The 25,260-nt window shown below is 35.4% G+C and overlaps 1 protein-coding gene across 22 annotated transcripts in view, besides 1 other annotated feature; it reads left to right on the top strand.

Annotated features, from left to right (window-relative positions):
• The window catches only part of ANKS1B (ankyrin repeat and sterile alpha motif domain containing 1B), a 1,250,151-nt gene that overhangs the window by 432,532 nt on the left and 792,359 nt on the right, over positions 1-25,260 (top strand). The gene's annotated exons all lie outside the window — the stretch shown is intronic.
• Positions 22,194-22,263: a silencer, noted in NCBI's record as "silent region_4759". NCBI's record gives its function as "represses an Ori minimal core promoter by ATAC-STARR-seq in GM12878 lymphoblastoid cells {active_cell/tissue: GM12878}" and the evidence as "EXISTENCE:reporter gene assay evidence [ECO:0000049][PMID:35858748]".

The raw sequence follows: 25,260 nt of genomic DNA, 5'->3' as shown, positions 1-25,260 counted from the left end.
TCTAATTGGAAATAAAAACATTTGTCTATTCATTTACTTCAGTTTGGTCATTAAGCCAACAAATATTTATTGAACATTTTCTTTGTGCCAGACACCATGATAGACATTGAGGAGACAATAAGAAAAAGACCAACTGCCTGTTTTCTTGGAACTCGTAATCTTTTTTGGAAGACAAGTATTTCACAATCATTTCATTATAATTGTGATCAGTGTAGGATTCTGCAAGAATGTGTGATAGGTGATTTGACCTAGTCATTCACAAGGAAAGATAAAAAAAACTGAGTCCTACAGGAACTGATGTAGAAACTGAGTCCTAAAGGAGCACTAGGGATCATCCAGGCAGAAATAAAAGGAACAGTGTTCTTGGTACATAGGCCCAGAGGTAAAAGGACAAGCTTGGCACATGCTAGGAACTGTACATATATGATTGGAACAGTGTTTCAGATGTGTGTGTGTGGTGGGGGGAGGTGGCCCTTAAATCTGGAGAGGCAAGCAGGAGTCAGATTATAAACAATCTTGCAACCTACATTAAGAGTCAGGACATACTCAGATTTTCATTTTAGTGAGACCACTAGGCTGAACTGTGGAAAATGGCTAGGAGACAGTAAATATTGGATATAGTGACACCTAGTAGGGAACTGTTACACTAATTCATGCCAGAGATTTTTGTGTCTCAAAAAAGATTATTGGCCATTGTGATGAAGAGAAATGTCTGCCTTCTCACTTTAGTTTCTCTGCCACTCTAAGACATAGCTCAAATGTCATCTCTTTTCTGAAGTCTTTTCTGCTCCTCCCAGATATTCCCACCTGTGTGCTCCAGAGTATTCTTCCTCTCCCCTCCCCTCCCCTCCCCTCCCCTCCCCTCCCCTCCCCTCTCCTCTCCTTTCCTTCCAACTCATAGTAAACATATCCTAAGAATCTGACACTGTTAGGTTATGGTTCCTGCCATAAAGCGGCTTACCTTTTAGTGGAGATCATAGTTCCATAGTTCAATGTGAAAAGTGCTTTGATGGAGACAGTTAGAAAGCCCTAAAGAGACATAGCTAGAAATTAGATGGAGGTGTGGGGAAGGGACTTGGGGCAGTTTTCAGAAAAGATTTATTGTATGATATGATATTGCTGAGTATGATGATGTATTTGAGGAGCTAAAAATTATTTTATGTGGCTGGAATTGATGATAGAAGTGGGAGTAGAAACGGTGAGAAATAAAATTAGATAATTCATCAGAGACTCTGTGTTTTAGGTGTTTTGTTTACACTACTGAAAGTGCTATCACAATTTCTTGATTCCATATTTGTTGTCAGGTGCTTCCAGGAGGCTGGGACATAGAGGTCAGGGATTGTGTAGGGTTAATTATGGAGTCTAAGTAGAGCTGGTAGTAGGATGCCAGGGTTTTACCAAAACACATCCTTAGGACAGAGGGGTCATCCAAATTAAAAACAAATTAGAGCATAACACTTAAATTAATGATCAAAGAAAAGAATGCAGCAGAGGAAGATAATCAAGGATAAGCAGCAAGACCAAAAGGGATTGCAGGATAAGGAAGATCCCTCAAATCTTTGAGATCTTTTAGCATTTATCTACAGAAGCTTTATAGTTGTTGTTGTATTTTAATTAGGCCCCCTATACACATGGGGTTAGTTAGTGATTGTGGGTAGGTAATGTGTCTTAAACATTTCAGTGAGGGTTCTTAGACCTAAGTGTGCAAAATAAATAACTGTGGTGATTGTTAAAAATAAAAATTTCTACATAACTTCAAACTTCAATTTTTTTTTTTTTTTGAGATAGAGTTTCACTCTGTCACCCAGGCTGGAGTGCAGTGGCCCAAACATGGCTAACTGCAACCTCCACCTCCCGGGTTCAAGCGATTCTCCTGCCTCAGTCTCCCAAGTACCTGGGATTACAGGTGCCAGCCACCATGCCCAGCTAACTTGTATATTTTTAGTAGAGACGGAGTTTCACCATGTTGGCCAAGCTGGTCTTGAACTCCTGACCTCAATTGATCTGCCTGCCTCAGCCTCCCAGAGTGTTGGGATTACAGGCCTAAGCCACCGCGCTTGATTGGAAATTTTGACTAAATATATCTGTGGGATAGGTAGGAATTTGAATTTTGAGCAAGCAGCCCTTATGATTTTGACACAAGTGCTAGTTATGTTTCTATGCTTTATGTAAACAACATGTCTGTGATTCTTAGGACTTTATCAAGACACTGAGAGAAATGTTACACTGGAAACTCAAGATAGAGAGCACTCAAGATAGATAGAGAGCACCATGAAACCACTAGGGATCTGTTAGGCTTTGAAGGGAAGGCGAGGGTAAAAGAGAGAGAGAGTTGCTGGCTCAACAACAACACAGGTTTATTGGACAAAAGACCTGCAGAAGGGGATACCAGCTAGCGCTGGAGCCCGCTGCCATTTGCATGCTGGAGTAATTATAGGTCCGAGCGGGAGGGGTCTGGGCTTGTTGTGAAATGGGGTGGACAGTGAGGTTAGCTGCTGAAAAGGGAGGAATTTTCTGCAGTTAGGCAGTTAGGCCTGGGACTTATCCAGCAGGATGTTTTTCACAGCCCAAGCCTTAGTGGAATTTTCCACTGTGACCAGGGTCTGTGGAATGGCGGGAGTTTACAAAATGTTGGGCTAACAGGATCTTCTTTATCTTACATTCACTGAACTAGGTTAGTTCATGCATTGACTATAGAATGCATGTTCCTTAGGCAAATTAGTTTTTATCTAATTGCTATTACTAAGCAATATCTAATTGCTATTACTAAGCAAACCACTGGTTTGGTTAACAGCTTGCTTGTCAAGCATTCCATGTAAAGCATTCATGAAAGTGTTGGACAAGCACTTGTTGAATAACAGAAATTATGAAAGATAGAAAGAAAAGAGTGAGGGAGAGAAGAAGGAAGAAAGAGAATGAAGAAGAATAAAATAAATTCATCTTAGCATAACTTAATTTAGCAAATTCTGTTGGTTTTCATGAATACCAGTTTATTTACTAAGACTTCAAAAACCATCTGCTTAACTCTAAGAATTTTGGCAGGGACTGATCTTAAACTTCCTAGTCTTTTGCCTCAACTTCTATTTTGAAAATTGGATTAAAGATTTACCCATCTCCAGTCTTCTGCCATCACGCTTACTGTGATTTCTAAAGAATTACAGAAGTTATTTACAGTAATCAATATGTATGTTCCTTTAGTGCCCTGAGGTATAGTATACCTGGACTGGAGACTTGACTGTTCACATGGGTTGATGCTCTCTAACTATTGTATGACCTATCTAGAGTTTCGGTTTCTTCTTTATGTTAACTGATCTTATATTTCTAGTTTGAAGATCATTTTGGAAAAAAGATATAGGTAAATTGCTAGTCACCCCCACCTCCAGTTCCCCACTAGTATGCCTTTTTGTTATATGTTATGTCCCCATGGCAGTTCTCCATTATTGCATTAATCATAGTTGTAATTATCTATTTTGGTTTCATAATTCTGGGTAGGCAATCTTGTTCCCTACACTTATGCACCTGGCATATAGCAGGAACCCAGTAATATTTGTGGAATGATGATCTTCGCAACTTCTAATGACTGAATGTCTGTATCCCTAAGATATATAGGAGCTAATAATTTTTTAATGGTTCATCAAAGGAATGAATATATTTAGCAAAAACAAAGGCAAAGAGCACTATCTTTTCCAGAGTTCTCCTTTTCTTATTGTTTTTCTTTTTCAAATTTCTACTACCCTCTCTTTTTCTGGCTTCAAAATTTCTTCTTAGTGTGGCATGGATGAGTAAATTACATTACTAAATGTTGATTCTCCAAGAAGATTTACATTTTTAAAGAAGTTAATATCTGAAATAATATATTATTAATAATAACATTACCTATATTTGTCAGATGCAAAAGGTATTTTGTAGAATGGTGGTGGGGGGATTTCTATTGTCTTTAAAAAAACATTCATAGTCCTGCCCATCTCTCTATTTCTTCCTTCTTTCTTTCCACAGATACTTATTGAGCACCTAATGTGCTAAACTGTTGGGGATTAGAAAGCAAAACAGTTAACAGGAAAAGGGAAAGGGCCATTTGGTAGAGAGCCACCCAGAATCAGGCAAAGAAATTTGAATCTGATATTCCATGCAAGGAGATGCTGCTGTCTTTAGTTAGCAACCTATAGCAAAATTTCTGGAAGTCATTTAGTGGAGTCAGTGGAATGAATTCTGATGATATGCTATTATATATTTCAGGCTTACCTTTAGGAAGGCAAAACAAAAATTAGGGAAAGGTGGACCAATTTCCTTAACAGAAAATTCAATATTGTTCTGTAATGGGCAGCACAACTGGTCTGATATTTTTGATAATTAACACAAATTTTATTGCTGTTGCAGGTTTATAATTACTGTCAATCAACTACAATTTTTATTTAGTTTATTGCCATATAAGACAGCATCAGGGAAGGGCATACATTTATTCCTCAAAAACAACCCGAATCTTCTGCCAACAGTTTTGTAGTCTGCAATCCCTTAATTTTGCATGAAGACATCCTCTGTAAAAATCTAGCATAAACTCTTCTACCTTTGGAATATAATTCAGGGAGTTATAATGTGAAAAAGAAAATAAAACATACCTGATGTTTTAGACTATTTGAACAATGTATTCCCAAGACATGGGAGTGTTTCACTTCCTGAATAATGCTCGGTTCAATTCAGAAAACATTTAAGACTGAAATGTTACATATGTTGAACATGAAAGGTTTTGCCACTCAGTTGAGTAGTTTGTATTCTACCTCCTAGGGAGACACTTTCAGGATCACCCATTATCCCATATAGAGCCTTTGAAAGGATTAGAAAAGGGCACCTCACTTTGGGTGGATTCAGCTCCCAGACAATATTATTGCTTTGCTTTAGAGTTGGGGCTAAAATTTCAGCCTCCAACTTCTTTCTAGGGCTGGTGCCTCATAACACCCCTGGGTGTTTAAGTTCCTATATTCCTCCTGTTTCTTTTTTATGAATTAGGGGTTGGATCATCTCTCCTGATCAGAAAGATAAACTTCTTATAGTAAGAACTTATATTTTATACCAAAATAAAAGAAAATAAAAACAAAGTATATCTGAACAATACCAGGCATTTCCCACATGTTATCTCCTAATCCTCAGAAGAGTCCTTTGATGTAGGCATTATTGTACAAAGTTGTGTGATTAAGAAATTATTTACTGGTTAGGTGACTTGCTTCAAGTCTAAGATCTAGAAAGTAAAGGGGCAAACTCAGATGCAAACCCTGGTCTGACTCCAAAACCCAAGTACTTTGTTCTTGGAATTTCCCTCTCTTTTTCTCCCCAAGGCCACACTTACTGGGAATTTTACCACAGATTTCCCCCCAGAGTCCACCCAGTGTCCCACTGCTGTAGGGATCTCAGCCTAATCCAGACACTCATCCTCTTGTTTATTCATCCTCCCCCTGCCCCTGTCAGAGATGTCTTGTTTCCTCTTGCTAAAATAATCAGTTCTCCTTGTTGTTGGAGTTTATCCCAACCTGCTACACTGCATGTACCCTGGAACTAATTGATGCCTACTTCTCCAACCTTACTGAGCTCCTTTCCCCTTACTAGAACTAGACCATCTCACAATCCTGTTATAGTTAACTATTTTTCCCTTCCATTCGTTCTGACCAGACTCCATCTGATTTCTTTCACTTTGCTCTATGTATTTATCATGCATAAAGTAGAACCCTTAACGTTCAGTTTTCAGAGGGTGGTCTAGCCTTCCCTTACTCCTGATTTCATGGAGTTCCTAAATTCTGCAGTGGACACCAGCATGGATTGATTGCCTGTACTTATCAGAGATCCCATTTTCTTCGCTCTGCAGCCCAGTAGGGAAGAATTATTGATCCCTCTACTGAGAGCAGCAGATATGTGAAATGTGTCCCTGGAAACTTGTGGCATGGTTTGGCATGTGATTAGGACTTCTAGAGTGACTAGAACATAGAGTACAAGTAGGTTAAGATTGGAATAGAGTTTTACTAATTTATATGATGTGGCATAATTTTTATGGAAAATGTCTTAAAATGGTAAGCCAGTTTATAAACTCTTGAAAAGCATGTCTTTCTTAAGTTAGCCCTTCCTTATATATATTAGTGTTCAAGAATGCTTACTGATTAATTCACTTTGTTTTATTTGATAGATTTGTATTTTATTTCTATTGTCTATTTCTCTTAGATTTCACTTCTCCAGGCAGGTAGAATAAATGAATGAATTATAAATTGTCACTTATTGACTGTCACTATGTGCCAGCTGTCTACAGCTGCATTTTATTAATCTTCTATTTTAATCCTTCCATTCAACTTGACTTGGACCATTTCATCTGGCAGAGTTAGGATTTTTCTTCCCAGGTTCTGACTACAAAGTCCATACATTTTTCAGTATTCTTCTGGCCTAATTTGGGGTTCTTCTCCAACGGAGGAGAATATTCCATCTTTAGGTAAAGTGAACCCATGTGACACTATGAGATTAAAACATGCAAGAAAATAGAAAGGAAGGCAAATGTTATTGGATATAGGTAAAGTCTCAATGTCATTGAGGAAAAAGAAAAGCAACAAAGAAGCCCCGATGCAATAATTTTATATATATATATATATAATTTATATATGTGTAAAATATATATATATGTGTGTGTATATATATATTGCAAAAGGTACATGGAAATGGTGCTTTGTTGATCTTATGATGATAAATTCTTTACAGTGATTGAAATGGAAGGGCTTCCGTTAGTTCTTTTATTTCTTCTATACCATTCTTTCCCTAAAGCAAAAGTATGACGAAGCTAATCAAACTCTAGTCAAGAAAAGAATACATGCCTTAAATTTAGTTCTTCATCAACAGCAAACACTTCAATAGCCAATAACCCCTTTGCCTCCCAATAGTGCTGTGACCTAAACAAACAAACAAAACCCAGAGAGGCTTAAATGTGGTTATTATGAATCATTCAAGGGGATATTGTCTATGTTTTGCTTCGCCTTTTAGTTTGTTTATATTCTTAGGGGACAATTTCAAGAGTTAAAAGACAGGAAAAATTCTGGGCTTGCTTTTATCCCTTATGAAATAAAGGATTCTATAAATATTGGTCGAAAGTTAAATACATTTGCCATACTCCATCAGAACTTAAGTGTGTTATATAAATGTCATTTGGGAAGGGAAAAATAAAAGCAAGAAGTCTAATTTCGTTTTCAGACATAGAAATAGAGCTCCCTCATGGGTGTCTAGAATGCCTTGGTTTTTGTTGTCTCATGAAGAACGGATCATATAATTAAAATGTCCTGTGCAATTAATCATATCTTAGAATTATATCAATAGCTCTATCAATTAAGGTAACCTTCCTTTTCACTTCCAGTAAGTTCGACCAATGATAAATGAAGCCACATAACCAAAGAGACAGTCAGATAATGTAGCCAGGGCTCACAGATGAGTTTTAAGAATAATCCAATAATTAGACAGTGTTTTGCAGTGGAAGAGTTAAAACAGCAGGCACTTTTAGCCAGAAGAAGAAAACACTGAGGGTTTTATAAATAGTATTTGTGAAAACTATGTAAGACTTTATACAGAAGAAAGGTTATCAGCATGGGACCAGGTGCTGGAGGGTTGTTGGGAGGTGAGTCTCAGACCTATATGCATTTAAAAAGCTTCACAGATGTTCCACATGCACAGCTAAGGTTGGGAACAATTGCTCTTGTCACTTGTTCTGTCATCCTGAATGACTAAATAATGTAGGTGTTTGTAGACTCCTTATATTCCAGGGTCTCTTGTCATGAAATGCTTAGTTCAGCTCATAGGCAGTGGCAATGAAGCTGTCCTAAAAGAAAGCTCATACTGTGTTCTGGAAGTGGTATTAGATCTTTTACACAGGACATTTTGTTTCGTTCTTGAAACAAACTTTTGAGAAACATATTATCATTCTGATTTTATACATGAAGAAATCTCGCAGTTTCAGTGACTTGCTGCACATAATAAAGCATAGGAACCAGAGTCCGGGTAGGGACTGTCAGACTTCAAACCTGCTCCAGAAAATGGATCTGAACACCTAAGGCAGATTGGAATTTAAAAACCTACTACATTGACTGTCACTGATATCAGAATCAGGAGTGAGAATTGAAATACTTCATAACTGGTATAACTTATTGATTTCAATATTTGTTCATGCCAACAAACTGTATGCTCATTCACATATTACCCAGACTTATTCAGATATTACCATGTGGTGGTTGGCACAATCCAAACACAAGGTAGTTTTTTTTTAAAGAATTTTATTATTTTTCTTTTTCTTACAACACACAATTTCACAGGGGTTCATATGTCTATGTATTTATATATGTTTCTCTCTATATATTTTGTGAAACATAGTGGCAGAATCTTCAAATTCAACTACCATATCTCATTCCCAGTGAAGTTGCAATTTTATTTGTCTTCTTATGTCATTTATCTTGGTCTTGCTTTGCCACAGGCATTCCTCATGTGTTACTAGACTGAAAATTTAATCCTACTCATGTCTTATTAGCTTCGGTGTCCCATATTGGCCTTCCTTTTTTCTACCACTAAGTTGGCATACACCTTTATCAATTTGTCTATTCTGCATATGCCATATAAATGAAATCGTGTAATATGTGGCCTTTTCTATCTGTTTTTTTCTCACTTAGCATAATGTTTTTAAAGTTTATTTATGTTGTAGAATGTATCACAGCATAATGTTTTCAAAATTTATCCATATAGTAAAATATATCAGTACTTCATTCCTTTTTATTACAAAATAATATTCAATTCTGTGTTTCTCCATTCATCAATTGGTAGGCATTTGGGTTGTTCACCCTTTTTGACTATTTTGAGCAATGCTGCTATGAGCATTTATGTGCAAGTTTTTGTATGAACATTTGTTTTCAAATTTCTTTGTTATATATAACTAGAGGTAGAATATTGGAGTCATATGGTAACTCTATATTTAACAGTTTAAGGAACTGCCGAACTATTTTCCAAAGTGGTTACACTATTTTACAATACCACCAGCAATGTATGAAGGTTCCAATTTTTCCATATCCTTGCCAACTTTTGCTATTGTTAGTCTTTTTTATTTTAATCACCTTAGTGGTGAGAAGTGGTTTCTTATTGTGGTTTTGATTTGCATTTCTCTAATGACTAATGATGTTTAGTATTTTTATGTGCTTATTGGCCATTTGTAGATCTTCTTTAGAGAAATACTTATTCCTTTGCCCACTTTTAAATTGGATAATTTGTCTTTTTATTGTTAATTATGAGTTCTTCATATGGTCTGAATACAAGTCCCATATCAAATATATGATTTTTAAATACGTTCTCCTAGTCTGTGAATGTCTTTTTACTTTCTTGATGTCCTTTGAAGCATAAAAGTTTTAAATTTTGACAAAATTCAGTTTATTTATTTCTTTTGTTACTTGTTATTTTGGTGTTATATCTAAGAAACCATTACCCTATCCAAGGTCATGAAGATTTATCTATACTTCTTCCCCAAGAGTTTTGTAGAGTTTACCCTTTCGTTTAGGCGTTTGATTCATTTTGAGTTCATTTTTGTACATTATATGAGGTAGGTATTCAACTTCATTCTTTTGCATGTGGATAGATATCCAGTTATCCCAGCACCATTTGTTGAAAAAACTATTTTTTCTATTGATCTATATGACTATTCTTATGCTGTACCACACTGTCTTTATTATTGTAGCTTTTTAGTAGTCTTTGAAATTGGGAAGAGTGACTCCTCCCACTTTGTTCAAAGTTTTCAAAATTTTTTGGCTATTCTGAGTTCCTTCTGTTTCCATATAAATAAATGTTAGAACCAGCTTTTCAATTTCTGTGAAAAAAAGCACCACGGATTTTTTTTATAGGGATTTTGATGAACCTGTTGATCAATTTGGTGGAGATTATTGCCATTTAAAAAATATTGTGTCTTCTAACCCATGACCATGCAATGTCTTACCACTTATTTATGCCTTCTTTAATTTATTTCAACTATGTTTTTAAATTTTTAGTGTACAAATCTTAGATTTTTTTTGTGAAGTTCATGTCTAAGTAATTTATTTTATTCTATTGTAAATGAAATTTTATTTAAATTTAATTTTGCATTTCCCATTACTACCATATAGAAATACAATTGGTTTTTTTAGTATTGTCCTTGTATCTGCAAACTTGCTGAACTTGTCCATTATTTCAAATAAAGTTTGTGGCTTCTTTAGGATTGTTCTACATATGTAAGTTCATGTCATCTACAAATTAAGATAGTTTTACTTCTTTCTTTCCAATCTGGATGCTGTTTGTTTTTCCTATCTATTGCCCTGACTAGAACCTTCAGTACAATGTTGAATGGAAATAGTGAGTGACATCCATTTCTTGTTTCTGATCTTAGGGGGAAATATTCAGTTTTTCACCATTAAATAGAATCTTAGCTGTAGGTTTTTCATAGACGCCTTTATCAGATTTAGAGAATTCTCATTCTTTCTAGTTTGTTGAGTGCTTTTATCATGGAAGCATGTTACTCTTTTTTTTTTTTAGACGGAGTCTCGCTCTGTTGCCAGGCTGGAGTGCAGTGGCATGATCTCGGCTCACTGCAACCTCCGCTCCGCAGGTTCAAGTGGTTCTTCTGCCTCAGCCTCCCAAGTAGCTGTGATTACAGGTGTCTGCCACCACACCCAGATAATTTTTGTATTTTTAGTAGAGATGGGGTTTCACCATGTTGGCCAGGCTGGTCTCGAGCTCCTGACCTCAGGTGATTCACTCACCTCCCAAAGTGCTGGGATTATAGATGTGAGCCACCATGCCCGACCAGAAGCATGTTACATTTTGTCAAATGCACTCTCTGTGTCTGTTGAGATGATTTTGTGGATTTTGTCCTTTATTCTATTAATATAGTGTATGATATTGGTTGATTTTTCATATATTGAACCAGCCAAGTATTCCTGAGGCACTTGGTCATGATATATAATTATTTTGTATGTTGTTGCATTTAGTTTGCCAGCATTTTGTGGAAGGTTGTTGTGTCTACATTTATAAGGGATGTTGATGTCTACTTTTCTTGTGATGTGTTTATATGGTTTTGATATTAGTGTAATACAAGATTCCTAAAATGAATTTGAAAGTGTTTCCTTTTTTGTGTTTTTTGTTTGTTTGTTTTTTTTAAAGAAGCATTTGTGAGGGATTGTTATTGTCTTCTTTAAATGTTTGGTTTAATTCACCTTTGAAGCCATCTGAGCCTGGCCGTAATATATGGAAAGTTTTGAAATTACAAATTCAATCTCTTACTTGTTATAGGTCTACGCAGATATTTTTATTTTTTCTTAAGTCAGTTTTGGTAGGATTTTGTTTATTTCAGCTAGCCTATCTGTTTTGTTGGCATGGAGTTATTCATAGTATTCCTTATAAACTTTTTTATTTCTGTAAAGTTGGTAGTGATAGCTTCTCTTTCATTCCTGATTTTAGTAATTTGAGTCTTCTCTCTCTTTTTTTTTGTTCAGTCTACCTGAAATTTTGTCAATTGTATTTTTTTTCAAAGAACCAACTTACATTTCTTTGAATTTCTTTATTGTTTTTCTATTCTTTATTTGCATTTATTTTTGCTCTTATTATTTCCTCTTTTCTGCTTGCTTTCAATTTATATTTCTTTCTAGTTTCTTAATACTAAAGGTTATAATTGACTTATGTCTTTTTAAAAATAGGCTTACAGCTATAAATTTCTCTCTAAGCACTGCGGCATTCCATAAGCTTTGGTATGTTGTGTTTTTGTCTTCATTCATTTGAAATTATTTTTAATATCCCTTCAGAATTCTTCTTTGGCACATTGCTAATTAAGGAGCATGTTGACTATTTCCACATATTCATGAATTTCTCAATTTTCATTTTTATTGTTTTCTAATTTTTTTCTATTATGGTCAGAGAACATACCTTGTATGACATAAAACATTTAAAATGTATTGAGACTTGTTTATGGCAAGTCTCATATTGCATGGTCTATTCTGCAGGATGTTTCACGTGTACTTAAGAAGAACGCACATTCTGCTGTTGTTTGGTAGAGTAGTCTATAGATGTCTGTTAGGTCTACTTGGCTTATGGTATTATTTAAGTCTTCTGTTTGCTGGTTGATGTTCTGCCTAATTGTTCTATTCATTATTGAAAATGTGATATTGAAGTCTCCAACTATTATTTTTTAATTGTCTATTTCTCCCTTCAATTCTGTTACTTTTTGTTTCATGTTTTGGAGGCCCTATTTTTAGGTGTATATATGTTTATGCTTGTTGTGTCTTCCTGACTGACTGTTTTATCTTTATAAAATGTCTTTTTTTTTGTCTCTAGTGACAAGTTTTGTCTCAAAGTCTATTTGTTCAATATTAGTATAGTCACTGAAGTTATCTTTTGGTTGTTATTTGCATGATGTATCTTTTTTTCATATTTTTACTTTCAACCTATTAATGTCTTTGAATATTAAGTGTATCTTTTATGGACAACATGTGGATCATTTTTTGAACAAAATTTATCTGGCTTGGCTCAGTGGCTTGTCTGTAATCTCAGCATTTTGTGGCAGGCAGAGTGAGGCAGAAGGATCCCTTGAGGCCAGGAATTTGAAACCAGCCTGGGCAACACAGCAAGGCCCTGTCTATAAGAAAACAAAAAAGCAAAACCTAAAACAAACAAAAACAGAAGAGTCCATTCTGCTCATCTCTTTGTTTGGAGTGTTGAATCTACTTACATTTAATGTAATTGTTGATAAGGTAGTATTTATGCCTGCCATCTTGCTATTTGTTTCTAATATTTCTTATATCATTATTGTCCCTCTATACCTCCATTACTGCCTTCCTTTGTATTAAATAGATATTTTCTAGTTTATTCTTTTAATTTCCTTTATGTTTTTCATACATATTTTTAAGAGTTATTTTTTAGTTGGTATTCTAGAGGTTATAATTGATTTTTTAACTTAAAATAATCTATTTTGAATTAATATCAACAGTTTGTTTCAATAATATACAAAAAAACTTTGCCCCAATATTTCCTCCTCCCTTATTTGTATTGTTGCTTTTGTACAAATTACATCTTCATATAAGCACATCAACAGAGATTTGTAATTATTGCTTTATGCAGTTGATTTTTTAAGGCATAAGGGTGGTGAAAAGAGTATAAATAAAAGTACATTTATACTATCTTATATTTACCTTTACCCACACTTTTTACGTTTTTTAGTGTGAATTTGCATTACTGTTTACTGTCTTTTCAGCCAGAAAGCCTCCCTTTAATAATTTAGTATTTCTATCATTCATCATGATCAAGTGAAATTTATCCCTGGGATGCAAGGATGATTCAACGTACACAAATCAATGTGATATATCATATCAACAGAATGAAGGATAAAAACCATATGACCATTTCGATTGATGCTGAAAAAGCATTTGATAAAATTCAACATCTCTTCGTGATAAAATACCCTCAAAAACTGAGAATAGAAGGAACATACCTCAACATAATTAAAGCCATATATGAAAGACCCATAGCTAGTAGCACATTGAATGGAGAAAAACTGAAAGCCTTTTCTCTAAAATCTGGAACATGACAAGGATGCCCACTGTCACCACTATTATTCAACGTAGTACTGGAAGTCCTAGCAAGAGCAATCAGACAACAGAAAGATATAAAGGGCCTCCATATTGGAAAGGTGTAAGTCAAATTATCCTTGTTTGCAGGTGATATGATTTTAGAAAAACCTAAAGGCTCCACAAGAAAACTATTAGAACTAGTAAATTTGGTAAAGTAGCAGGATACAAAATTAACATACAAAAATCAGTAGCATTTCTGTGTGCCAATAGTGAACAATGTGACAAAGAAATAAAAATATCCCATTTACAATAGCCACACATAAGATTAAAAACAAATGAATTAAGAAAAGAAGTGAATGATCTCTATGATGAAAACTATAAACCATTGACACAGAAATTGAAGAGGACACAGAAAAATGGAAAGACATTCCGTGTTCATGGATTGGAAGACTCAATATTATTAAAATGTTTGTACTACCCAAAGAAATGTACAGATTCAATGAAATCCCTATCAAAATACCAATAACATTCTTCACAGAAATAGGAAAAGATAATCCAAAAATGTATATGGAACCACAAAAAAACCAGAATAGCCAAAGCTATCCTAAGCAAAAAGAACAAAACTGGAGGAATCACATTACCTGACTTCAAATTATACTACAAAGCTACAATAACCAAAACAGTATGACACTGTCATAAAAATATATACATAGACCAATGGAAAAGAATAGAGAACACAGAAACAAATAAACACACCTAGAGTGAACTCATTTTTGACAAAAGTGCCAAGAACATACACTGGGGAAAAGACAGTCTCTTCAATAAATGGTACTGGGAAAACTGGATATCTATATGCAGAATAATGAAACAAGACCCCTATTTGTCATTAATTACAAAAATCAAATAAAAATGAATTAAGACTTAAATCAAATCCCTCAAACCATGAAACTACTATAAGAAAACTTTGGGGAAATTCTCCAGGACATTGGTCTGGGCAAAAATTTCTTGAGCAATATACCATAAGCACAGACAACCACAGCAAAAATGGAAAAATGGGATTACATCAAGTTAAAAAGCTTCTGCACAGCAGAGGATACAATCAATAAAGTGAAAGGACAACCCACAGAATGGAAGAAAATATTTGCAAACTACTCATTTGACAAGGGATTAATAACCAGAATATATAGAGTGTGCGAACAACTCTATAGGAAAATAACTTTGCCAAAAGATGAGCAAAAGATTTGAATATACATTTCTCACAAGAAGACATACACAACTGGAAAACAGGCGTATGAAAAGGTGTTCAACATCATTGATCATTGGAGAAATATAAATGAAAACTGCAATGAGCTATCATCTTACCCAGTTAAAATGGCTTAATTCAGAAGACAGGCAATAACAAGTGCTGGTGAGGATGTAGAGAAAAAGGAAAACCTTATACACTGTTAGTGGGAATGTAAATTAGTACAACCATTATGGAGGATAATATGGAGGTTCCTCAAAAAACTAAAAATAGAACTACCATATGGTCCAGCGATCCCACTGCTGGATATATACCCAAAGAAAAGGAAATCAGTATGTTGAAGAGATATCTGCACTCCTATGTTTATTGTAGCACTGTTTACAATAGCTAAGATTTGGAAGCAACCAAAGCGTCCATCAACAGATGAATGGATAAAGAAAATGTGGTACTTATACGCAATGGAGTACTATCCAGCCATAAAAATAATGAGATCTAGACAAGTCATTTGCAACAACATGGATGGAACTGGAGATCTTTATGTTAAGTGAAATTGGCCAGGCACAGAAAGACAAACTTCAAATGTTTTTGTTTATTTGTGGGATCTAAAAAGCAAAACAAACTCATGGAGATAGAGAGTTGGAGGATGGTTACCAGAGGCTGGGAATGGTAGTGTGGGGTTTGTGGTTAAGGTGGGGAGGGTTAATGGGTACAAAAGTACTTAGAAAAAATGAGTAAGACCTATTTGATAGCACAACAGGGTGACTATAATAAATTATAACTTAACTCTACATTTAAAAATAAAGAGTGTGATTGGAGTGTTTGAAACTCAATGGGTAAATGCTTGAGGGATTGGATACCCCGTTCTTCATAATGTGCTTATTTCATATTGCATGCCTGTATCAAAACATCCCATGTACCCTATAAATACATACACCTACTGTGTACCTACACAAAATTTAAATTAAAATAAAAATTTCATATTTCTTATAGAGTAGGTCTAATAGCAACAACTTTTCTAGCTTTTTTTCTTTATGGAAATATTTTTTATTTTCACAAAACTATTCCCAACCACTGGAACACAAAAGGTATACAAACACATAAAAGCATGAAAGGAGCTAAGAACATATAGCTGTGAAGAAATTTGATTGTAGAAAAATACATAGTTTTGTTTATAATAAAGACTAATTTTTTAGAGCAGTTTTAGGTTCATAGCAAAATTAAGAGGAAAGTACAGAGATTTCCCATATCTCCCTTGCCCCCATACATATGTGTAGCTTCCCCCATTATCAACATCCCCACCAGAGTGCTACATTTGTTACAATTGATGAACCTACATTGACACATCATCATCACCCTCAGTTCATAGTTTGCATTAGGGTTCATTCTTGATGTACATTCTATGGGTCAGGATTGATTTTGACTAACATCTTAAGAACAGAGCCTTTCCCACTGAGTGAGTTCTGTATCAGGTCAAATAAAGACATGTCCTATAAATGGAGCTTTTCCAGGGAGCTGCTGCATACATCAAATATGAATTCTCTGTGAGTGCAAGACAGTTTGTAGAGCTCCAAACCCATTTAACGCCCTCTAGTATATGTTGGTTTTAAGAGTGATTGTGAGACTGTTGTGGAGCTGGGGAGATGGAAATGGGATTAGAGCAAATTTAAATACACAATGTTAACTGTTTTCACAAAAATTCTGATGATTTTCTTGAATAAATCCTTGATGGATTATTGCAAACCTTTGGTTAAGTGCTAAAGTTTATTTTGACAACTTTTTGAGTGTTCCTGTGCCTTTTATGAAGGAGTGGAGTTCTGGAGATTCTTATTCTACCTCTGTAAGTGCTTCTTCACTGGCTTTTAAAATAGGTGAAGAACTTGAAGAAGTAGAATTGTGAGGTAAGGCATGTTCAAATTCAGTGTTAAGCTGATCTAACAAGCAGATGAGCTCAAAGTAGAGCCTTGGCATACAGTTGAATGGAAAATGAAATAAAGAAGGTGAAATTGGCATGTTGGGATATACAGCGCTATGCTAGAGAGTTTTGATTTGAATAAAATTTATTTAGAAAGTATTTGAGTTTTTGGGCTAGGAATAATTTGAGAATAATTGTGTTCAAAGATTCTTCTAATGGTGGTATATAGGATGAAGTGAAGCTGTCCAAGAAGGGAGATGAGTTCAGAGACAGTGACATTAATCTGCATGTGTGATGCTGAAACCTAGTTTAACATGGACGTGGGACAACAAGAGTGGACCAATCATGGGACTTGGTGATGGACTGGATCTTAGAAGCCAGGAAACCAGAGGAGTTTCAAAACACACAAATATTGCTGATCTGCTTTGCAGGGATGCTGGTAGAGTAATGGTAACAAGAATAGTGGAAAAGCAGATATGTGACTAATTCTTATTTTGTCTTCTTAAAGAATTCCTTCATTTAGCTAAAAGTTTCTTAAGCTTTTTGCAGGTACACAATCATATTAAATAACTAGTGGTTGGTTATTAAAGCCAGAATTTTATGCCATCAAAAGCTGAATATCTTCAAGTGGCCTCCTAAATCACGTTAATTTTTTAAAAAGGGCCGGGCGCGGTGGCTCATGCCTGTAATCCCAGCACTTTGGGAGGCCGAGGTGGTCAGATCACGAGGTCAGGAGATCGAGACCATCCTGGCTAACATGGTGAAACCCCGTCTCTACTAAAAATAGAAAAAATCAGCCGGGTGTGGTGGCAGGTGCCTGTAGTCCCAGCTACTCGGGAGGCTGAGGCAGGAGAATGGGGTAAACCCGGGAGGTGGAGCTTGCAGTGAGCCGAAATAATGCCACTGCACCCCAGCCTGGGTGAGAGAGTGAGACTCCATCTCAAAAAAAAAAAAAAAAAGAAAAGAAAAAAGAAAAAAAAAGTTTCCTAAAAGTCTAAATATATTGTAAAATGTTTATCACATTAACTTACTTTCCTAATGTGTAATTCTCTGAGAAAGCAAATGTAGTTATTTTAGGTGTTTCCATTAATGGTGTTTAATTATTATGTGTAGAAATGACAATTTCACAGCCTCGAATGTATATTAATTAACCAAATAAGTGAGTCCTGGGTTCAGGTGTTGGTTGTCATTTAGAACACAATGCTTTTCTCTCAGCATATGGATTCATCATTATTTTTCAAGTAACTTTCATCTTTTATTTTTCTTTATCCCTTGATGAGTGAAAACAATAAATGGCAAATGACATGATTATCACTGAAGTGGTGACTGTAATTTGTATAATTGAGAAACATTCATTGCTATGTGGGACTAAATTCAGATTTCTGGACTTATCCTTCCCCTATGAGCACTTCACTTCTCATTCAGTTGTTCACTTCTGAACATACTTCTAACAAGACTGAGACTGGAGATACCAAAACATATTTTCATATTGTCATTGCAATATATTCTTCTTCAGTATTTTAAACAATGATATTATTTGTCAATATTTTTGTTGTTCCAGATTTTTCAAGGATTCAAGTCACAGATTTATATTATTTACCTTTATGTTACCATATTTCTTGTCTCTGTGAAGTAAATGACTACAAAGAGGGTTTTTTAAAAATAATTAATGTTTCTGTTAAAATAGCACAGGGATTGGAAGGTTTTGGGAGGCCATTCAAGTTTTTCTCCATATTTTTAAGACTTAATTTTTATTAATATTGGTCATTTATGTTATTTATTTATCCATTCTTTTGTTAATTAATTGAGTCATTTAACATAAATAATTCAATATTTTGAAAGTCTACTCTGTGTAGGAATTGTATGGATTTCTGTGAAGCATAAAATAGAAGCGTGCACACACACACAAATGAAACACCAAATGGAGCACTAGCTCACTGGGAGGGTAGAATCTAAAAAGTAGCTAAAATACCTCAAAATGATAAGAGCCATATATGATAAACCCACAGCCAACATCATACTGAATGGGGAAAAGTTGAAAGCATTCTCCCTGAAGGCTGGAACAAGACAAGGATGCCCACTTTCATCACTTCTATTCAGCACAGTACTGGAAGTCTTAGCCAGAGCAATCAGGCAAGAGAAAGAAAGAACATCCAAATTGGAAAAGAGGAAGCCAAACTATCTTCTTTTGCTGATGATATGATCTTATACCTTGAAAACCCCAAAGACTCCTCCAAAAGACTCCTAGATCTGATAGATGAATTCACTAAAGTCTCAGATTACAAAATCAACATAAACACTAATCAGTAGCACTGCTATACACCAACAATGACCAAGCTGAAAATGAAATGAAGAACTCAATCCCATTTACAATAGCTGCAAAATAATATAATATTAATAAAATACCTAATACACTTAACCAAGGATGTGAAAGGTCTCTCCAAGGAGAACTACAAAACACCAATGAAAGAAGTCATAGATGACACAAACAAATGGAAAAACATCCTATTCTTATGGATTGGAAGAATCAATATTGTGAAAATGACCATACTGCTCAAAGCAATCTACAGATTCAATACAATTCCTATCAAAATACCAATGTCATTCTTCACAGAATTAGAAGAAACAATCCAAAAATTCACAAGGAACCAACCAAAAAAGCCTAACTAGCAAAAGCAGTCCTAAGGAAAAAGAACAAATCTAGATGCATCACATGACCTGACTTCATGTTATACTACAGGGCTATAATAGTAACCAAAATAACATGGTACTGGTATAAAATAGGCACAGAGACAAATGTAACAGAATTGAGAACCCAGAAACAAAGCAAAATACCTACAACCAACTGATCTTTGACTAAGCAGACAAAAACATGCACTGGGGAAAGGACATCCTATTTAATAAATGGTGCTGAGAAAATGGAATAGCCACGTATAGAAGAATGAAAACTGGATTCCTATCTCTCACCATGTATAAAAATTAACTCAAGATTAATTAAAAACTTAAATGTGACCAGGCGTGGTGGCTCACGCCTGTAATCCCAGCACTTTGGGAGGCCGAGGTGGGTGGCTCACGAGGTCAGGAGATTGAGACCATCCTGGCTAACACGATGAAACCCCGTCTGTACTAAAAATGCAAAAAATTAGCCAGGTTGGGTGGCAGGCGCCTGTAGTCCCAGCTATTCGGGAGGCTGAGGCAGGAGAATGGCGTGAACCTGGGAGGCGGAGCTTGCAGGGAGCCGAGATCGGGCCACTGCACTCCAGCCTGGCGACAGAGCGAGACTCCGTCTCAAAAACAAACAAACAAGCAAACAACAACAACAACAAAAAAACCTTAAATGTAAGACCTGAAACCATAAAAATTGTAGAAGAAAACTTAGGAAAACTCTTCTGGATATTGCCTTCGGCAAATAATTTAGGGCACAGACCCCAAAAGCAAATCCAACAAAACAAAAATAAATGTGATTGAATTAAATGAAAAAGCTTCTGCACTGCAAAAGAAATAATCCACAAAGTAAACAGACAACCTACAGAATGGGAGAAAATATCCACAAACTGTATATCTGACAAAGCACTAATATGCAGAATCTATAAGGAACTCAAACAAATCAGCAAGAAAAAAAAAAACAATCCCGTTACAAAGTAGACAAGCAATATGAACAGATATTTTTCAAAAGAAGACATACAAATGGCCAACAAACACATGCTCGATATCACTAATCATCAGAGAAATGCAAATTAAAACCACAGTGAGCTACAAGATCACCCTAGTCAGAATGGCCATTTTCAAAAAGTCAAAAAACAATAGATGTTGGTTCAGATGCGGAGAAAAGAGAATGCTTATAAACTGTTGGTGGGAATGTGAATTAGTAAAACCTCTATGGAAAACAGTGTGGCAACTTTTCAGAGAACTAAAAGCACATCTACCATCTATTGAACAATCCAACTACTGGGTATTTCCTCAAAGAAAAGGAAGTTATTAGAAAGACAATTGTACTCATATGTTAATTGCAACACAATTCACAATTGCAAAGATACGGAATCAATCTCAGTGCCCATCAACTGATGACCGGATAAAGAAAATGTGGTATATATACCATGGAATGCTACTCAGCCATAAGAAAGAATGAAATTATGTCTTTTGCAGCACCTTGTATGGAACTGGAAGCCATTATCCTAAGTGAAGTAACTTGGAAATAGAAAACCAAATACCACATATTCCTACTTATAATTGGAAGCTAAGTTATAGGTACACAAAGGTGTACTGTGTGGTGTAGTTGACACTGGAGACTCAGAAGGGGGGAGAGTTGGGAGGTTCCTATAATTTATCCATGTAACCAAAAAACACTTGTATTCCTAAAGCTATTGAAATAAAAAGTAAAAATAAAAATGTATACTACAACAACAACAAAAGTAGCTAACAATAAAAATATTGATTATAAATGCAGTCCTGAAAAGCTAATGTGTCATGAGATACTGATTTAATATCAAACAGAATATTACTGTTGTTTTTAGGTTCAGAGAAGAAAGCAAGCTATGTAGTCAAGTGTAGCCACAAAATTCTTACTGGACTAAGTAGAATTTATGATTGCCTATGAAGGAAAGGGAGAATTTCTATAGGCCTGGGAGGGCCCTGCTACTCAGAGGGAATAAGGAGAACATAAGCAAGAAGACAGAGGCAGGAATATGTCATTCAGGATGGAGGCTACTGAGTATATCAGGCATATGGGAAGAGAGGGTTTGTATTAAAAGGTATCCTTGGAGAGGCTTTGAAAGCTTTAAAGAATAAATTAGTATAAAATTCATATTTTTATTCAACAAATATTTATTGGATGATCATGATTGTCCTCTGACAGTACTATACTGTGAGGGTTATAATAGTCCCTACCTTTTAGAAGTGGTATGAAGCTGTGGATCTCAAGTGGGCCACTATGGGGTTGCTGAAAAGGGCTTGAAAATCCATACAGATACTAACCTCTGTCTGTAGATTAAATAAATGGTAGGTTTTACATATCCATGTCCATATTTATTATTTTAAAATTTGCATAAGTTTTGTTGTGATTAATAAAAATGGAAAATCACTTTTGCTTTTTGCTGATTTTTTTAATACAGTGGTACAACTTACCTGTTGCAGTTGGGCAAGGAAAGTGAGATTCTTTCCCCTGACTTTGTATTTTCACGTGGAGAGTTATGGATAAGTGTGACTGGGCTTCTCTCTGTTCCTGTTCTTTTCTCAGGGAAGTTAACTGACTCCTAAACTTGGGAGCAGAAACTGAGCTTGTGTCACTTATTCTCTTTGTGATCTTCTCACCTGCAGAAAGTATGTAAGGTAAGCCTAGCAATAAAGAACTCGCTTGGGAGACCTGATGCCAGTCTATGTAGTTCTAGAGTGTAGGAGTAGGAAGCCTACACTGCCAAGGGCCTAAACCAGTATCTGCTTCATCACTAGCCTTACTGATGTTTTAAACTCTTTTGCATGACCTCTTTGCCACAGTCTGGCAATCTGTGGTCACTAGGACAGTTCTGACTCACTGCAGGCCAAATCTGGACAAGCTTTTCTATTTACATATTGTACGTGGCTGCTTCTGTGCTACAACACCAATACTGAGTAGTTACAACAGAGACCATGTGGCCTGCAAAGCCTAAATGTTTAAAATCTCTGGTTGGTTTCTTGAACCCTGGACTCTTATCTATAATTTAGAGAGTAAATAAGAAAGTCATTTATTATACTGTCTACATTCCTAAATTAATCCTAATATTATCACTTAGAGAATCTGTAAAAATTTTTACTTCGAAAAAAATGTTTTAGTATTCAGAATGATGGGAACTCCTGGTTAAAATGGAGCTAAATTAGATGGGAGTTTGGAGATTATTTAAATATGTAACATAGGTATGAGCTGATGAAGCTTGAACTAGCTTAGTGATTATGGACGTAGAAAAATAGTGTGGATTTAAGGGTAATTAGGAAGTGAAAAGCTTACAGAAGTTGATGACTACTTCTTCTTTTATTTTTTTCCTGGAAACAGAGTCTTGCTGTGTCACCAGGCTGGTGTGCAGTGGTGCAATCTTTGCTCACTGCAACCTCTGCCTCCCAGGTTCAAGTGATTCTCCTCCCTCAGCCTCCCAAGTAGCTGGTATTACAGGCACACGCCACCATGCCCTGCTCATTTTTGTATTTTTAGTAGAGACAGCATTTCACCATGTTGGCCAGGCTGGTCTTGAACTCCAGACCTCAGCTGATCGGCCCATCTCAGCCTCCCAAAGTGCTGGGATTACAGGTGTGAGCTAATACGCCCAACTTGTTGATGGCTTCTTTACAGAAACAGTAAGCATGATAGAACAAGAGAAAGATAAATGGTTCAAGGGTTCGAGTCTAGGTGAACATTCTCCTCTTTGTCATCTTCTTATTGGTGAACTACATTCCACTTCTTTTGACTTCTTGTTGACTTCTGATCTAGATCATCTAGGTCTTTTTTTGAGGATTTGTACAAAGGTGGTTCCTATTTAGTTTTACCTGACATTTGGCATGTTTTCAGTTGCATTTGTATGATTCATTACAGAGATTATTCTTGGGATTTCACCATTTCCAATTTCACCTGGGGTATGCAAATTTCTACACAGTAGTGCCAGAAATAAAAATCAAAGCTCATTTGTATTTGAAATGGTATCATCTCTTTCCTCAGGTGGTAGATTCACAAACTATATTTTTTCCCTGAAAATCACATGTACATATAATTTTTTTAAATCAAGCAAAGCAAAAGAGAATATGATCTCATTTCCCAGTGTTAAACACCAAATGTTTCTAATAATATCTTCTAGAAATATTCCAGGAATATATAATTTGAGTGCATACTTTTTTCACACAGATATGAACATACATCACATATTATTCTTCCCTTTGTTTATTGTTTTAGCTTAACATATCAGTACTTGCACATTTATCTCATTTTAAAAATTACTGAGTAGTAATAATGGCTACATTGATTGATCACTTAGGCTTTTAGACACTAGACTAAGTGCTTTATGAAATGAATCATCTTTTTGAAATGAATCATTTTATTCATGTTATGTTCCTCATTTTTAATGGGGTTGTTTGGTTTTTTTGCTTGTAATTTTTTAAAAGTTTTTTATAGATTTGGGATTAGACCTTTGTCAGATGCATACTTTGCAAATATTTTCTCCCATTCTGTAGGTTGTCTGTTTACTCTGTTGATGGTTTTTTTTTTGTTTTTTTTTTTGTTTTTGTTTTTGTTCTGTTTTTTGGCTGTGCAGAAGCTCTTTAGTTTAATTAGGTCCCGTTTGTCAATTTTTGGTTTTGTTGCAATTGTTTTTGGCATCTTCATCAGGAAATCTTTGTCTAGTTCTATGTCCAGAGTGGTATTTCCTAGGTTTTCTTCCAGGGTTTTTATGGATTTAGGTTTTATATTTAAGTCTTTAATCCTTCTTGAGTTGATTTTTTGTATATGGTGTAAGGAAGGGGTCCAGTTTCAATTTTCTGCATATGGCTAGCCAGTTATCCCAGCACCATTTATTGAATAGGGAGTACTTTTCCCGTTGCTTGTTTTTGTCAGGTTTGGCGAAGATCAAATGGTTGTAGACATGTGGCTTTATTTCTGAGCTCTCTACTCTGTTCTGCTTGTCTATGTGTCTACTGTAGCACCAGTACCATGCTGTTTTGGTTACTGTAGCCTTGTAGTATATAGCTTGAAGTCAGGTAATGTGATGCTTCCAACTTTGTTCTTTATGCTTAGAATTGCCTTGGCTATTTGGGCCATTTTTTTTTTTTTGGTCCCATATGAATTTTAAAATAGTTTTTTTCTCATTATGTTAAGAATGTCATTGGTGGTTTGATACATTTTAATCAAAGTTATTTATTGATTTTATTATTTCATTCACAACTACCAACAAAACCTTGAAGCAGATACTATTACTATTCTAATTTTGCAGATGAGGAAACTGTAAGACTTTGCCAAGGCAACTTTGTTAAAAAAGGCAGAGTTGGGATTCTGACTCCAGTTAAAGGGCTCATGCTCTTGAACTACTCTTCCTGTATTTTCCAAGTATATTTCACCAACAATTTGCATCAACATGACCTGGGATAATTGTAAGATATAACTCTCCATGGCTACCACCAGAGATTCCGATTTAGTAAGAATTCCGGGGAGAGCCACAAATCCGGATTACTAACAAGTGATCCAGGTGGACTTTGTGCAGTCTAAAGTCTGTAGACCTCTATATTGTACTATATTGCCTGTTTACAGCAACAATACTTATTTATTTTATTAAAGGGTACGTGATTTTAAAATTTTGATACCTATTACACTTTTGGGAATTTTATCAAGAAGAAAGATAATCCCCTTTTTTGATAGTCCCTAATTGTTATTTTTTTCCCAAGGAGTAAATATGTTAAAATGCTAAGAGATTAATCAAAAGTTTTTCAACGAGTACCTTTTACTGTTTTTTTTAACTCTATATTGGCTTGCTAGGGTTTCCATAAGAAAGTACTACAAACTGCATACCTTAACA

Source organism: Homo sapiens, chromosome 12 (genome assembly GCF_000001405.40).
Source record: "Homo sapiens chromosome 12, GRCh38.p14 Primary Assembly".
In the NCBI taxonomy this organism is placed as follows: domain Eukaryota; kingdom Metazoa; phylum Chordata; class Mammalia; order Primates; family Hominidae; genus Homo; species Homo sapiens.
The sequence above is the reverse complement of the archived record's forward strand: the minus strand, read 5'-3'. Positions and strand labels throughout refer to the sequence as shown.